Raw genomic sequence first — 13,725 nt, forward strand, 5'->3', positions numbered from 1 at the left:
CATACAAATGGAGAAAAGTTTTTAGATTGAGACAAAATTCAGATTTGAAAACTCTTGATCTACATAGCTCTAATTTAATTTCAATTATTCACATATAAGGTAATGATAATTCTAACAACTTACTCACTTCTCATTTATTCAATAATATTCATTGAGCCACTCCCTCCCTAGGTACCCTATATGCCAGGCACTGTGGCACACAATTTCTGGCATGTTCACATCTACTGAATTTCACAACATCCTCACTAAACCAAGGAAGGCACGTGATTATATTACTTTCATTTTATGGATGCAGAAAACAGCTCAGAAAGGTAAGCTATTCACCTGGATCTCACTAAGGAAAAGTGTGGACCCTACAGCAGTGTTTTCATAGGATGGTGGAACACAGGGTGATCAGGTAGGAGAAAAGGACAGAATTAGAGTAAACTGCTAGAATTGTTTATAATCCAAAAAAGCCTATCTTATCTATGCTGCTGTCAGATCAATGCAATCTAACGATGACAGTAAAGGGAGTATCACTCAAGAGAGCTTGGCAGAAAGAAACACAGCTCTGCCTTTTTTTTTTTTTTTTTTTTTGAGACAGAGTCTCTCTGTTGCCCAGGCTGGAGTGCAGTGGCACGATCTCAGCTCACTGCAACCTCTGCCTCCCGGGTTCAAGCAATTCTCCTGCTTCACCCTCCCAAGTGTCTGGGATTACAGGCACTCCACTAATATTTGTATTCTTAGTAGAGACGGGGTTTCGCCATGTTGGCCAGGCTAGTCTCGAACTCCTGACCTCAGGTGATCCACCCCCACTCAGCCTCCCAAAGTGCTGGGATTACAGGTGTGAGCCAGTGCACCTGGGGGCAGCTCTGCCTTTAGTAAAGTAATTAGTAGTCACACGACACACACAAAAATTGCATTTTAATAATATGGAAAATTCCTAACACATTTGAGAAAGAGCTCTCCAGGTACAAAGCAAGAACACTGTTCACATTAAAAATAACAGCAACAACACCTCCCCCATCCAAAAGCAAAGCAAAAAATCTTATGTAAAATAAATGGATTTTTAAAATATTGTAATTACTTGCAGTTGGCATTACAAAACCCCAAATTACTCATCTTTAGATTTCAGATCTTACCTCACTTGCAGCATATGTATATAGTACTTTATTTTTTATGACAAACCAAAAGTGTTTCCAGGGTTTTTTATTGCCCTTTGATCTGTACAAGTAGCCACTCATAGAAGAATCCTCTGTGTTTGCTGATACCTAGATAAGAAACCCCATACAAAGTTTAATGGTTTTCAGACAAATTATAACAGCAAAATTATTTGCAACCAATAGGTGCTGAAAGCAATAACTGTAATGATAGAATGTTTCAGAATGAAATATATTTTCAAAGTGCTACTATACAAATTGAACTCTGCTATTAACATGAGCACAAAAAAGAAGACAACCATGTTAGAGGCAATTATAGAATTTTACTTGGTTTAACTGTGCCTGCACGTGTTTGCGTATGTTTCTTGGTGGGTTCATCTGTGTTTTCTGGGTTGGCAGGTGAAGAAAAATAGTTCCAGAAGACTAAAATGCTTTTCTAAAAGCTGGATTTGGGGACTTGGGGATTTGTTTTTTATTGCTCTTATTTTGGGGCATCAGGGAAAATTATTTGAACCTTTAATTCTGTTCCTAAAAAACTTTTTGGACTTCTAAAAACCATACAAACAGAATAATAAACAGAAAATTCTACTATTAAGGAAGCTCATTTTAAGAATCAATCTTTGCTTCCCAAATTATAGTAAGAAAGAAAAGAGGCTAATTTTTACTTCATAAAAAGTTGAAAATGTTTTCATCTCTATGCAAAAAGACAGTAAGCTTTTACTGATTGATTTTTTTTTTCTTTTTTTTTTTTTTTTTTTTTGAGACTGAGTCTTGCTCTGTCACCCAGGCTGGAGTGCAGTGGCCCGATCTCAGCTCACTGCAAGCTCCACCTCCCAGGTTCACGCCATTCTCCTGCCTCAGCCTCCCGAGTAGCTGGGACTACAGGCGCCTGCCACCACGTCCGGCTATTTTTTTTTTTTGTATATTTTTAGTAGAGATGGGGTTTCATCATGTTAGCCAGGATGGTCTCCATCTCCCGACCTTGTGATCCACCCGCCTTGGCCTCCCAAAGTGCTGGGATTACAGGCGTGAGCCACCACACCGGCCTTTTTTTTTTTTTTTTTTTTTTTAAGACAGTCTCACTCTGTCACCCAGGCTGGAGTGCAGTGGCACAATCTCAGCTCGCTGCAACCTCTGCCTCTTGGGTCCAAGCACTTCTCGTGCCCCAGCCTCCCGAGTAGCTGGGATTACAGGCGTGCACCACCATGTCCAGCTAATTTTTGTATTTTTAGTCGAGACAGGGTTTCGCCATGTTGGCCAGGTTGGTGTTGATTTGCCTGCCTTGGCCTCCCAAAGTGCTGGGATTACAGGTATGAGCTATCGTGCCTGGCCTATTGACTCTAATAATGGTTATTAAAAGCTGTGTTCTTAAAAATGTAGGAGTAGATAAATAACAAAATGTTTAGGATCTACCTTAGTAATGGTATGGCAGGCACACGCTTAAGGTGGCTTCCCATGACCCTTGCTGTAGAGAGTCACACTGCTGTACATTCTCCTCCCCCTGAGTGTGGACAGGACCTACGACTTGCTTCTAACTAAGAATTTGGTGAGGGTGATAGGATGTCACTCCCATGATCAAGCTACCTTATATATGGCCCTGTCTTGTTAGGAGACACTCTAGAAACTTTCTTCCTTGCTGGCTTTGAACAAAGTAGCAATGTTGAGAGGTCCACATGGCAAGGAGCTGAGGACCTCCAGCCAAAAGCTAGTAAGAAGGCAAGGCCCCCAGTCTTGCAAGTACAAGGAAATGAATTCCCAGATGAGCCTCTAGATGAGAACTCAGTACTTGCCAAAACTTTGATTATAGCCCTGCAGAGTCCCAGCTAACCCATGCCTGGACTCTGGAGATAATAAATGTATGTTGTTTTAAGCTGCTAAGTTTGTGGTAATTTATTATGCAGAAATGGAAAACTAATACACATGCGCTCTGTGAATTTTTAAAGTGTATCTTTAATTATATTAATTTCTTATAAATTTCATGAAAATAATTATATATTGTTTAGTGGGAAATTTAAGATCTAACATTAAATTAGAAATATTTGTTAAGCAACAGTAGGTTTATATAAATACATCCTTATAAAGACTACCAAGTAATTTTTTAAAAAACTAGAATTGTTTCCTATCTCAGTGAAAAAAAAGAGGAAAAAAATCCAACTAGAATGTTTAACATTCAAATGAGATTTTGCTTAAAATATAGTTACATTGGAATCCTACTATATTCTTATCTAAGTTGTTATTAATGTTGCTCAAAATATATTACATTTCTCCTTTATACCAATTTAGGACCAGTTTAGTAGCCACACAAGAAGATCAACCATAATACTGAATAGCCATGACTAGACCTATATTTTCAAAGATAAAACTGGTGTTCACCAACTTAATCACCTAACTGATCCACAAAACATGTCTTCCAATGATTTGATTATTTACAAAATAAATCAGGGTTGTGGGGGTGAGGGACTATAAAACTACATTTTGGGTACACTGTATACTGCTCAGGTGATGGGTGCACTAAAATCTTAGACTTTACCATTATACAACTCATCCATGTAACCAAAACCCACAGGTACCCCAGAAGCAATGAAAATTAAAAAAAAATAATCCAACTCCAACTCAAAAGCTGTAGTCTGCCATTACTGAGAGTACTGAGGCTCTAAATGTAATTCTAAAAAGAGGAGTTTCTAAAAATATTTTAAACATTACTAGAATAAGAACACAACTTCCCAGTTCCTCAAAAAGTTAAACATAGAATTACCATATGAGCAAGCAATTCTACTTCTGGGTATAAACCCAAGATAAATGAAAACATATGTCCACACAGAAATTTGCACATGAATATTTCTGTCAGCATAATTCGTAATAGCCAAAAGGTGGAAACAACCCAATATTCAACAAGAGATGGGTGGATAAACTGTGGTATACACAAACAATGAAATATTATTCAGACATAACAAGAAACGAAGTATGGATACGTGCTGTAATTTCCATGAACCTCTAAAACACTGTGTTTCAACTGGGAATATACTCGTAACTTTACATAAGAAACATGATCTTGATCAAATTTTTAGAGTTCTTTCCTTCCACTATGTATGCTAGAACACCTCCTCAGTAAAAAAGCAAGAGAACCAAATTAAAAACTACTCTGCTGGCCACAAAACTAGCACAGGCGGACCTCACTAATAAACTGATCATAACGGAGTAGCCAAAATGGCAATGCTGTTTGTTCTTTGACATCTAAATTTGAGGAAATGGGATAGGATATCAACAAAGTCTGTGGATTACACCATTAGCAGGTCTAAGCATACAGGCTATTATCACTATTTAAAGTTTTCTTTTAAAGGAAGTTTAAAGGAAAGACAACCTACTATCAGTGATATCAGCTGTGCATAACCAACCAATGCCTACAAATAAACCGTGCAGATCACTAAATGCTAACAAAATGCCCAAAATATCCTGTGGACTTCTTCCCTCTGGCAAGGATCTTGCTCAAAGTCATTTTAAAAAATTCATGTGTGTCCAACTTATCTTTACTTTCTATCACTGCTATTAAATGTTCTCTAAACCTTTCAATAGCCATTTTCTAAATGACTTAGGTCAGACGGGAGACCAAGCAAGATTGTGAGGCATCAGCCACATCCATCATCAGTATTAAAATTCATGACTTAATAGTTGTGGGAAATGACATCTTCCTTTATGAAAGAAAAACGGTGTATTATATGCATATGAATAATTCAGCCTCTATCACATTGCAAATTTAATGGAAACACTTACTTCTTTGAGAGCAGCTGGGATTTTTTTCTGTTTCCTCCCTGATGGAATGCTATGTAAGACTGATGATAAGGCACTTGAAGGAGATTTGTGATTTCCAGGAGATCCAATCCTAGGGGAGTGCTGGTGATCTAGAACAAATCAGGCATGCTTATGTAGGCAATGCTCAGCATTTTGCAATTCAATTTCATTCAAATCCATAAACACTGTTGCATAAAATATCCATGGAAGGACACTAAGAAACAACATTGATAACTCCTGGAAAAGGACAATGGATGGCTGGGAGTTGAGTGGCAGGAAGACTTTCTACTATCTATGGTTTTATACTTTTTGAACTTTATGTGAAAGGATTACTCTTGTGTGCCTTTAGAATTATGAAACACGTGACTATACTACCAACTTAAAAAAAATCCAAAAAACCTTCCCTACTGCCGTAAACCCCAAAGAACCCTGGTATTGTTAAGTGTCTAGATACTAGACCAGCTACAATGAACAAAGCAGCTTAAAAAAGGGGGCTATCGGACACGGATGAAGAAGTAATGAATTCTGATTGCAGAGGGTTCAGGGAAAGCTGAGAAGATAATAAGATAAAAGCTGGCCATGATGGAGTAAGTAGGAATTTGCCAGGTTAAAACAAGCAGGAGGAACACTGTGCGCTAAGAGGTCAGCATGAGCAAAGGCAGAGAGGTATGAAATTAAATCATCTATCTGGAGAATAATGAGGCCAGATTAAAAAAAAGGGGCTGGTTTGAAGCAAACTGGACTGTTGTTTATATGTTTTAGGCTGGGGAGTGACATGAGCAGATTAAATTTGGAAAAATAGATTATATCTGGCAGTACTAAGGAGAAAGGACTAACAGCAAGAAAACTTGTTAGGAAATTATTATAGTTGTCTAGATGAGAGATAACGAAGGCCTTATTAGGGCTGGGATGGAGAAATCAAGACAAAGATTTTTGATGATAAAATTGACAAGAGTTACTGACCAAATGGGTATAGGTGATGAGGAAGGAGAATTCAAAGACGAATTTTGAATGTTTGCAGCTTATACCATATACCCAGACTAAAGAGAGGAACATAAAGGAAGAGATGGATGGGTCTTCTTGGAAAATGTACACAAATAATAATAAATTATTCATCTAGAAATATGTGGACTCTGAAATACCATGTCATCCACTTAGAAATTCCTCCTTGCTAATGAAAAGCTATCCTTCAGGGAAATGAAGAACAGACTTTCAAAAATTTAGATCCTGGCCAGGCGTGGTGCCTTATGCCTGTAATCCCAGCACTTTGGGAGGCTGAGGCGGGTGGATCATTTGAGGTCAGGGGTTCGAGACCAGCTTGGCCAACATGGTGAGACCGCCCCGCGTCTCTACTAAAATACAAAAATTAGCCTGGCGTGGTCACGCGTGCCCGTAATCCCAGCTACTCAGGAGGCTGAGGTACGAGAATCGCTTGAACCCGAGAGGCAGAGGTTGCATATTGTGTCACTGCACTCCAGCTTGGGCAACAGTGCAAGACCCCATCTCAAAAAATATATATAAATAAAATTTAGATCCTACAGGTTTCAGGAATTTAACTAAAAATCTCTTCCCAAAACATAGACCTGAGCAGTCCTGCTAAGCTGCATTCATTTTACTGGAGGATACCTGCAAATAATGAGCAGGGAAATAGGAAGTATCATTTTTGTGTTCGGTCAAAAAGCTGCACATTCAGATGTACATTAACATCTCACTAAATCAGATTAACTGACTAGAATTAAGCTAACGAAGTGCCACCTAAGTAAAGAGAATTACTTTACATATAGATAAAATGATTTGTAATGAGCACACTATCATGTGAAACTATAGACTTCAAAATTACTTGAAAGTTAAAGTTCCCTTTTACTGTTTTAAGTGTTTTACCCTGTAATTACATTTCTACAGTTTTCTTAGCAAAACCTTTTACACAGACTGAAACCAAATTTCAGCCCAACCTCTCCCAGAATTACAACAAAATATGAATTAAGAAAGCTTACTACAAATTTGGAGATAAGTATCAACAATCATATTGCTAATGTACCGAAGGTGTTTCTCTCAGAAGGTTGTTTGAAAGCATCTGGGGAATAAAGGAATTTTTGGTTAAATCCTTACTTATATATTACCTAATTTCTGCAGTTCTTGGAAACAATGTTCACATACTCTTGCTGGTTGATTTTTCAGGTAATCTAAGCCATACTTATTAGACGAACAAGCTTGGCATACAATCTGAAAACACATTGGAATTATGTCATTAATTTCATTAGAATAACTTGTGTTTCTACACCATAAAGTATGTTACAATTTACAGTGCTATCCACTTTTCAAAACAGTTTCAGAGTCACTGAGTCTCACTTCGTCTCAATAATAACTCTGGAGTTCAGGCATATAGTGAACTAATGCATAGTACCACACTTGAAAGATGAAGGGGCCACAGATGATTACTTACAGAGGGCTGACTACATAAAATAATAAAGTAAAGCAGTTAATATATGCAAAATGCTTAGAACCGTACCTGGCATGCAAAAAGGCCTGTGAGGTATACTGATCACCAGCACTGTCATCATCATAATCACTGCTGCAGCAACGACCACGTCTCTGCAACTCTACCAAGTTTTTGGGCTCCATACTAAATGCTCTCTAAATACAACCTCATTTAATTTTTAGAGTGACTCTCTGATGTCACTGTTTCTACACCCATTTTACTAATGAGATCATGAAGGCTTAGAAACATCACTAGAGATAACTTCAACACTGAACATTCCCCGTACTGAATACTATGGATACTTAGTACTAGAGAGATGCAGTTTAAATAATAGCTGTAAATGTGAGGGCCTGTTTAATTGTGGATTTGTTAGATTTTGTTTTTGAATCAGTTATTACTGATGTTCTAATGTAACTCTGAAGTAGGAGGGTGGAAGTTCACTAAGAAGATTGCCCCTGCCCCCTAAATATTTAGAGAAAACACCATTCATGTTTGCTACCATTAACATAATAATAATAATAGTTATTGTTATTCTTGAACTATAATGGTTTATGAGGGGAAATATGCTTCCTCACTATGTACAGCCTGGAGACAGTAAAGACCACAATGGAGATGGGTGTTATCATCGCCAACCTTTCCACAGGCCCGGCAGTGGTGTCGTCTCCAGGTGAGAGTGAATTCGCTTGTGCAGATCATACACATTGTGGCTCTGGTATCAGGAATCCAGATGGGAGCCTTCGATCCAAGAGGACTAACTTCTTCTTTATTTTCTGAGTCTGCCTGTGGAAGAAGAACAACTTCTGATTATCTCCATGCACACTGCCTGCCTTTTTATTCGGCAGTGGCATCTCACACTACCAAGATGGGGATGAGGGTCAGGCACAGCAGCTCACGCCTGTAATCCCAGCATTTTGGGAGGCCGAGTCGAGTGGATCACATGAGGTACGGAGTTTGCGACCAGCCTGGCCAACACAGTGAAACCCTGTTTCTACTAAAAATACAAAAATTAGCCGGGTGTGGTGGCGGGTGCCTGTGATCCCAGCTACTCAGGAGGCTGAGGCAGGAGAATTACTTGAACCTGGGAGGTGGAGGTTGCAATGAGCTGAGATTGTCCCACTGCACTCCAGCCTGGGCAACAGAGTGGGACTCCGTCTCAAAAAACAAACAAACAAAAAAGATGGGGATAAAATATGGGCCATTGGCTGGGCATGGTGGCTCACGCCTGTAGTCCCAGCACTTTGAGAGGCCAAGGTGGGCAGATCACAAGGTCAGGAGATGAAGACCATCCTGGTCAACATGGTGAAAACCTGTCTCTACTAAAAATACAAAAATTGCCAGGCGCGGTGGCTCACGCCTGTAATACCAGCACTTTGGGAGGCCGAGGCGGGTGGATCACCTAAGATTGGGAGTTCAAGACCAGCCTGACCAACATGGAGAAACCCTGTCTCTACTAAAAATAACGACAATTAGCATGGTGGCGCATGCCTGTAATCCCAGCTACTCAGGAGACTGAAGCAGGAGAATTGCTTGAACCTGGGAGGCGGAGGTTGTGGTGAGCCGAGATTGTGCCATTGCACTCTAGCCTGGGCAATAAGAGCAAAACTCTGTCTCAAAAAAAAAAAAAAATACAAAAATTAGCTGGTCATGGTGGCACGTGCCTGTAGTCCCAGCTACTTGGGAGGCTGAGGCAGGAGAATCACTTAAATCTGGGAGGCAGAGGTTGCAGTGAGCCGAGATTGCACCACTGCACTCCAGCCTGGCGACAGAGCAATACTCCATCTCAACAAAAAAAAAAAAGAAATATGGGCTATTGGCCAGGCACAGTGGCTCATGCCTGTAATCTCAGCACTTTGGAAGGCCGAGGCAGGCGGAAAACCAGAGGTCAGGAGTTTGAGACCTGCTTGGCCAACATGGTGAAACCCCATCTGTACTAAAAATACAAAATTAGCTGGGCGTGGTGGTGCATGCCTGTAATCCCAGCTGCTAGGGAGGCTGAGGCAGGAGAACCACTTGAACCCAGGAGGCAGAGGTTGCAGTGAGCTGAGTTTGCGCCATTGCACTCCAGCCTGGGCAATAAGAGTGAAATTCTGTCTCAAAAAAAAAAAAGAAAGAAAAAGAAAAGAAATATGGGCTATTATATTTTTCACGTGCTCGGAATACTAAGTTTAGCTACAATCTAAAAATTTTCTAATACAAAATTAACTTAAAAAGACGCCTGTGGTAGTGGGATGGCAGCTGATTAGTTTCTGCCTTAAACTGTTTCGTATTTTCTAAATTTCCTACAATGAAGTTTTATAGCTGGGAAGAAACATGAATATGCTATATGCTATCACAGACTTGCAGTGAGACAACAATAGGAGGATAAACTTTTAGCGCTGAAATGAGACATTAATCTGTAGAGTAACTCTCTGATGTCCAGTCCAATCATTTTCTGAAACACATGTTGCTTTCTTAAACCCCTGTGAAATGTTTAAGGTAAAAACTTTGAAATGCACTGGAAAAAAAAAAAAAAGGAGAAAACAATACCTCATCAAGACTCCTACTAGGACAGAAGGTGATTCTTTTCTTGGCATACTCTTCTATTGCCCTGGAAATCGCTTCTAGCCATTCATCCCTTTCTGTGGCAGAACTGTTGGGGGCAAAAGGTTTCATCAACCAGATGTCAGTTTTTGTTCTTTTCCTTTTTCTTCTTTTCTTTCTCCCATGGCAACAGATCCCACCACCCTCCAACAATACCAGTCAAAAAAGTAGCAACTCCTCAGAGTTGAGGCAGGTTTAGTGAACAGATCATCAGAACAGACAACAGAGAACCCGTGATGGCATTTTAGCAAATACAATGCTTATTTTTTCTTTCCAAAAGTTCTGCTTTATATTAAATAGCTTTTGAACTCTCCTAAACTTGAAAATATTTTTGGTTTGGTTTAAAGGATAATTGTACAATTAATAATTATGATTATTTATATAGCCAGGGAGTTTCTTAAGACATCATCCTAGAATTTAAAAACATTCCAATAAGTCAAGTTTCAAATTCCAATTTATAGCATAGAATACTAAATATCTTTAGATTACTAAGGATTACTAAAATTTTCTAGGAAGGGCACTGGGGTGAAGGGAACATATTTTTTTGTATTAGAAAGCAGATGTTGACAATGAGGTTCACACGGTAAAGGCTGCAGTTTTTGTTAGGGCTTCTCTACCTATTTCACCCACCAAGTTCTCTGTCCCTACCCAGCTCATCAGGAGGTATCTTTAATTCAGCGCTAGATGGGAATGGGCCAAATAGGGGCAAACTTGGTCAGACAAGGGTATTTTTTTTTTCTGTTTTTCCAACCATGCCTTTTTCCCAAAACCATGTTAACTCCAAATCATTACTGGTATCAGCATACTTATGAAACCACTGTTTAAATTTTGTTTTGTATATTTAAAACTGAGAGGCACATGTTAGGTATTATAAATAAAAATAAATATATAAATCTATACATACACAGTACAGAAAGAGCAGAAAAGAGGAAGGGAGAGGGAATGAGAGAAAGAAAGACTTTAATAAATAATTAAAACTCCATCATAATAAAACAAAATTCATCAGAATGGGATTGTGACTGTGTTAAAAAAAAAAGTCTGTAGTTTAATTTACAGAGGCATTTTGAGGTATACAGAAGTAAAATCGGCCAGGCGTGGTGGCTCACGCCTGTAATCCCAACACTTTGGGAGGCTAAGGCGGGTGGATCATTTGAGCTCAGGAGTTCGAGACCAGCATGGCCAACATGGTGAAACCCTGTCTCTACTAAAAATACAAAAGTTAGCCGGGTGTGGTGGTGCATGCCTGTAATCCCAGCTACTCAGGGGGCTGAGGCAGGAGAATTGCTTGAACCAAGGAGGTGGAGGTTGTAGTGAGCCGAGACAGTGCCACTGCACTCCAGCCTGGGTGACAGAGCAACACACTGTCTCCAAAAAAAAAAAAAGCAGAAGTAAAATGACCTGATATCTGCAATTTGTTTTAAAATAGAAAATTATGAAACAGGAAAATCAGTGGCAAAATCTTGATGATTATTTTTAGTTTGGGTGCCTGAATATACAGTTTCTGGTATTATTTGCCCTAACTTTAAGTATATTTGAACTCTTAAAGAGTGTTTCTAAAATAAAAAATTCCACCATTAATAATGGTACATATAGACATATGTTGCTGTATTTTAGAGAACCCAGGTCAGATCAAGAATAGAAACCACTCACCTTCCCTACAATCATCATTCTCAGAAAGCGCCTCCCTAATCCATGGCTTGAGTGCCATTTAGAATGTTCATTCATGTGGATTAAAAAAGGTAGAGATCCACTTTACAAATAAAATTTTAAATCAAATTAATTTCTCAAATTTTCATTACATACAAAGAACAGCAAAAAAGAAATAATCTCTTTCTCTCTAAACCAAACAAAACCCTGCCTTATTTACCGCTACTATTCTAGCATTACTGCCAAAACAAGATGCCATTTAACAGTTACTACGTCAGCCAACTCTGCTAAATGCTTAGCAAATGTCACCATGTCTCACCCTCAGAGCTTCCCCATGGAATACACATTGGATCTTACACCCCTTGCCCCCAACTACAACATCATCACCCACCTTCACCATTTACAGGTAAGGAAACTGAGAATTAGTAATGTTTGATAATTTGCTTTATAGACAACAGACTAAGTGATGAGCTGTTATTAAACCCAAGTGTAGTTAAGGACTGGACCTCTCACCACCAGGTCATTGCTAGCCTCTGCTCATGTTCTCTGCAGAACTACATGATGAGAATACATGCTCAGGGTTCCAAGCAAACATTCATAAAACATTACCATCTCTCCCTCCCTCCCCGGCTCCTCACCAGAAGAGTAACAGAAAGCAGAGAGGCAGATGGTAAATTTGAGAATTGCTGTTGGATTCTTCTGGAGCCCGGGGAGCATGTGGAATGTGATTCAACTGTGTAAATCATGTCACATATGCTGTTCTTTCATTTAATCATTCCTGGCTCTCTCCTGTGTGGGGTTCTGCCAAGACAATGTTTACCAGCTCTTGATAACACATTTCTCACAGACCACACACATTTGCCCGCAGCATCCAGTGGAGATATTCTAGTCTCCTTTTGTAACATGATTAGCAGAAGAATCAGCATCTTCTTCAAACTGAAAAACTGTTAAGTCAAGTATTATTTTCTTTATAGAATGTGTATAGTACAAGAAAGCAAATTTGTGTCAAGTAAGTACCACTTTCCCAATGACTGGGATGAATTGCCAAGGGTTAAAAACCTGGCCGGGCGTGGTGGCTCATGCCCGTAATCCCAGCACTTTGGGAGGCCGAGGAGGGTGGATCACCTGACGTCAGGAGTTCGAGACCAGCCTGGCCAACATGTGAAAACCCTGTCTCTACTAAAAATACAAAAATTAGCCAGGCATGGCGGTGCGCACCTGTAGTCATTGCTACTCAGGAGGCTGAGGCAGGAGAATCACCTGAACCTGGGAGGTGGTGGTTGCAGTGAGCTGAGATTGTGCCACTGCACTCCAGCCTGGGCAACAAGTGAGACTCTGTCTCAAAAAAAAAAAAAAAAAAAAAAAAAGACCATGCCACACCATTTACTACATGGACTAACTGCAGGATGCTTCTCTGAGGTTCAAAGGCCACATCACTTTGATTTGTGAGTAACGCTGTGAGTAACATTCACTGGGAGCCTACTAAGCCAGGACCTAAGCCAAGAACTGGGCACACAAAATATACCTCACTTGTAAGGATGCACACTGAATTGAGGTGAAACATGTATTAACATATGATATGACAAATGTAGATAAATAACATAGAAGTAGTAAATTACCTTATGTAAGTAGCAGGGATGGCTCTGCAAAGGTGATGACAAAGTTAGGACTTAAAGAGTTACAGGAGTTTGGCAGGGAACTCTCTGTGTACCCTCATTCAGTCTGCCAGCCGTGGTCATCTCTAAGCTAATGGTGCCCAAATATATGTCTCTGGCCCCTACTTCCCTCTGAAATCCAGATCCTTACAGAAACTGCCCCTTGATGGCTGCATTTGGATGTTGCATATGCACCTCACATTCCATATGCACACCTGAAACTCAACTCCCAATTTCTCCCCTAAAGCTGTTCCTCTCCCAGTGCTCCCTGTCACAGTGCATGGCACCATCTCCCAATTCATAGTATATGCTGGAGTCTCCTCTGAAGAACTCCTCTTATACCCTGTGTCCAATCAGTCCCCTCCTTTAGGCCACCTCCCAAACCAGATTCCATGCAGCAGCCGGATACTCTTTAAAAAATGCCAATCTGATCACA

The 13,725-nt window shown here is 39.8% G+C and overlaps 1 protein-coding gene across 1 annotated transcript in view; it reads right to left on the reverse strand.

Annotated features, from left to right (window-relative positions):
• Positions 1–13,725, reverse strand: part of FGD6 (FYVE, RhoGEF and PH domain containing 6) — a 140,719-nt gene that overhangs the window by 7,910 nt on the left and 119,084 nt on the right. Inside the window, exons 15-19 of the mRNA NM_018351.4 lie at positions 9,934–10,036; positions 8,041–8,187; positions 7,049–7,151; positions 4,911–5,038; positions 1,122–1,250 (exon numbers count right to left, since the gene is read on the reverse strand). Coding sequence (NP_060821.3) covers positions 1,122–1,250; positions 4,911–5,038; positions 7,049–7,151; positions 8,041–8,187; positions 9,934–10,036 — 610 coding nt within the window. The remainder of the gene's footprint in view (positions 1–1,121; positions 1,251–4,910; positions 5,039–7,048; positions 7,152–8,040; positions 8,188–9,933; positions 10,037–13,725) is intronic.

Source organism: Homo sapiens, chromosome 12, assembly GCF_000001405.40.
Source record: "Homo sapiens chromosome 12, GRCh38.p14 Primary Assembly".
NCBI lineage: Eukaryota > Metazoa > Chordata > Mammalia > Primates > Hominidae > Homo > Homo sapiens.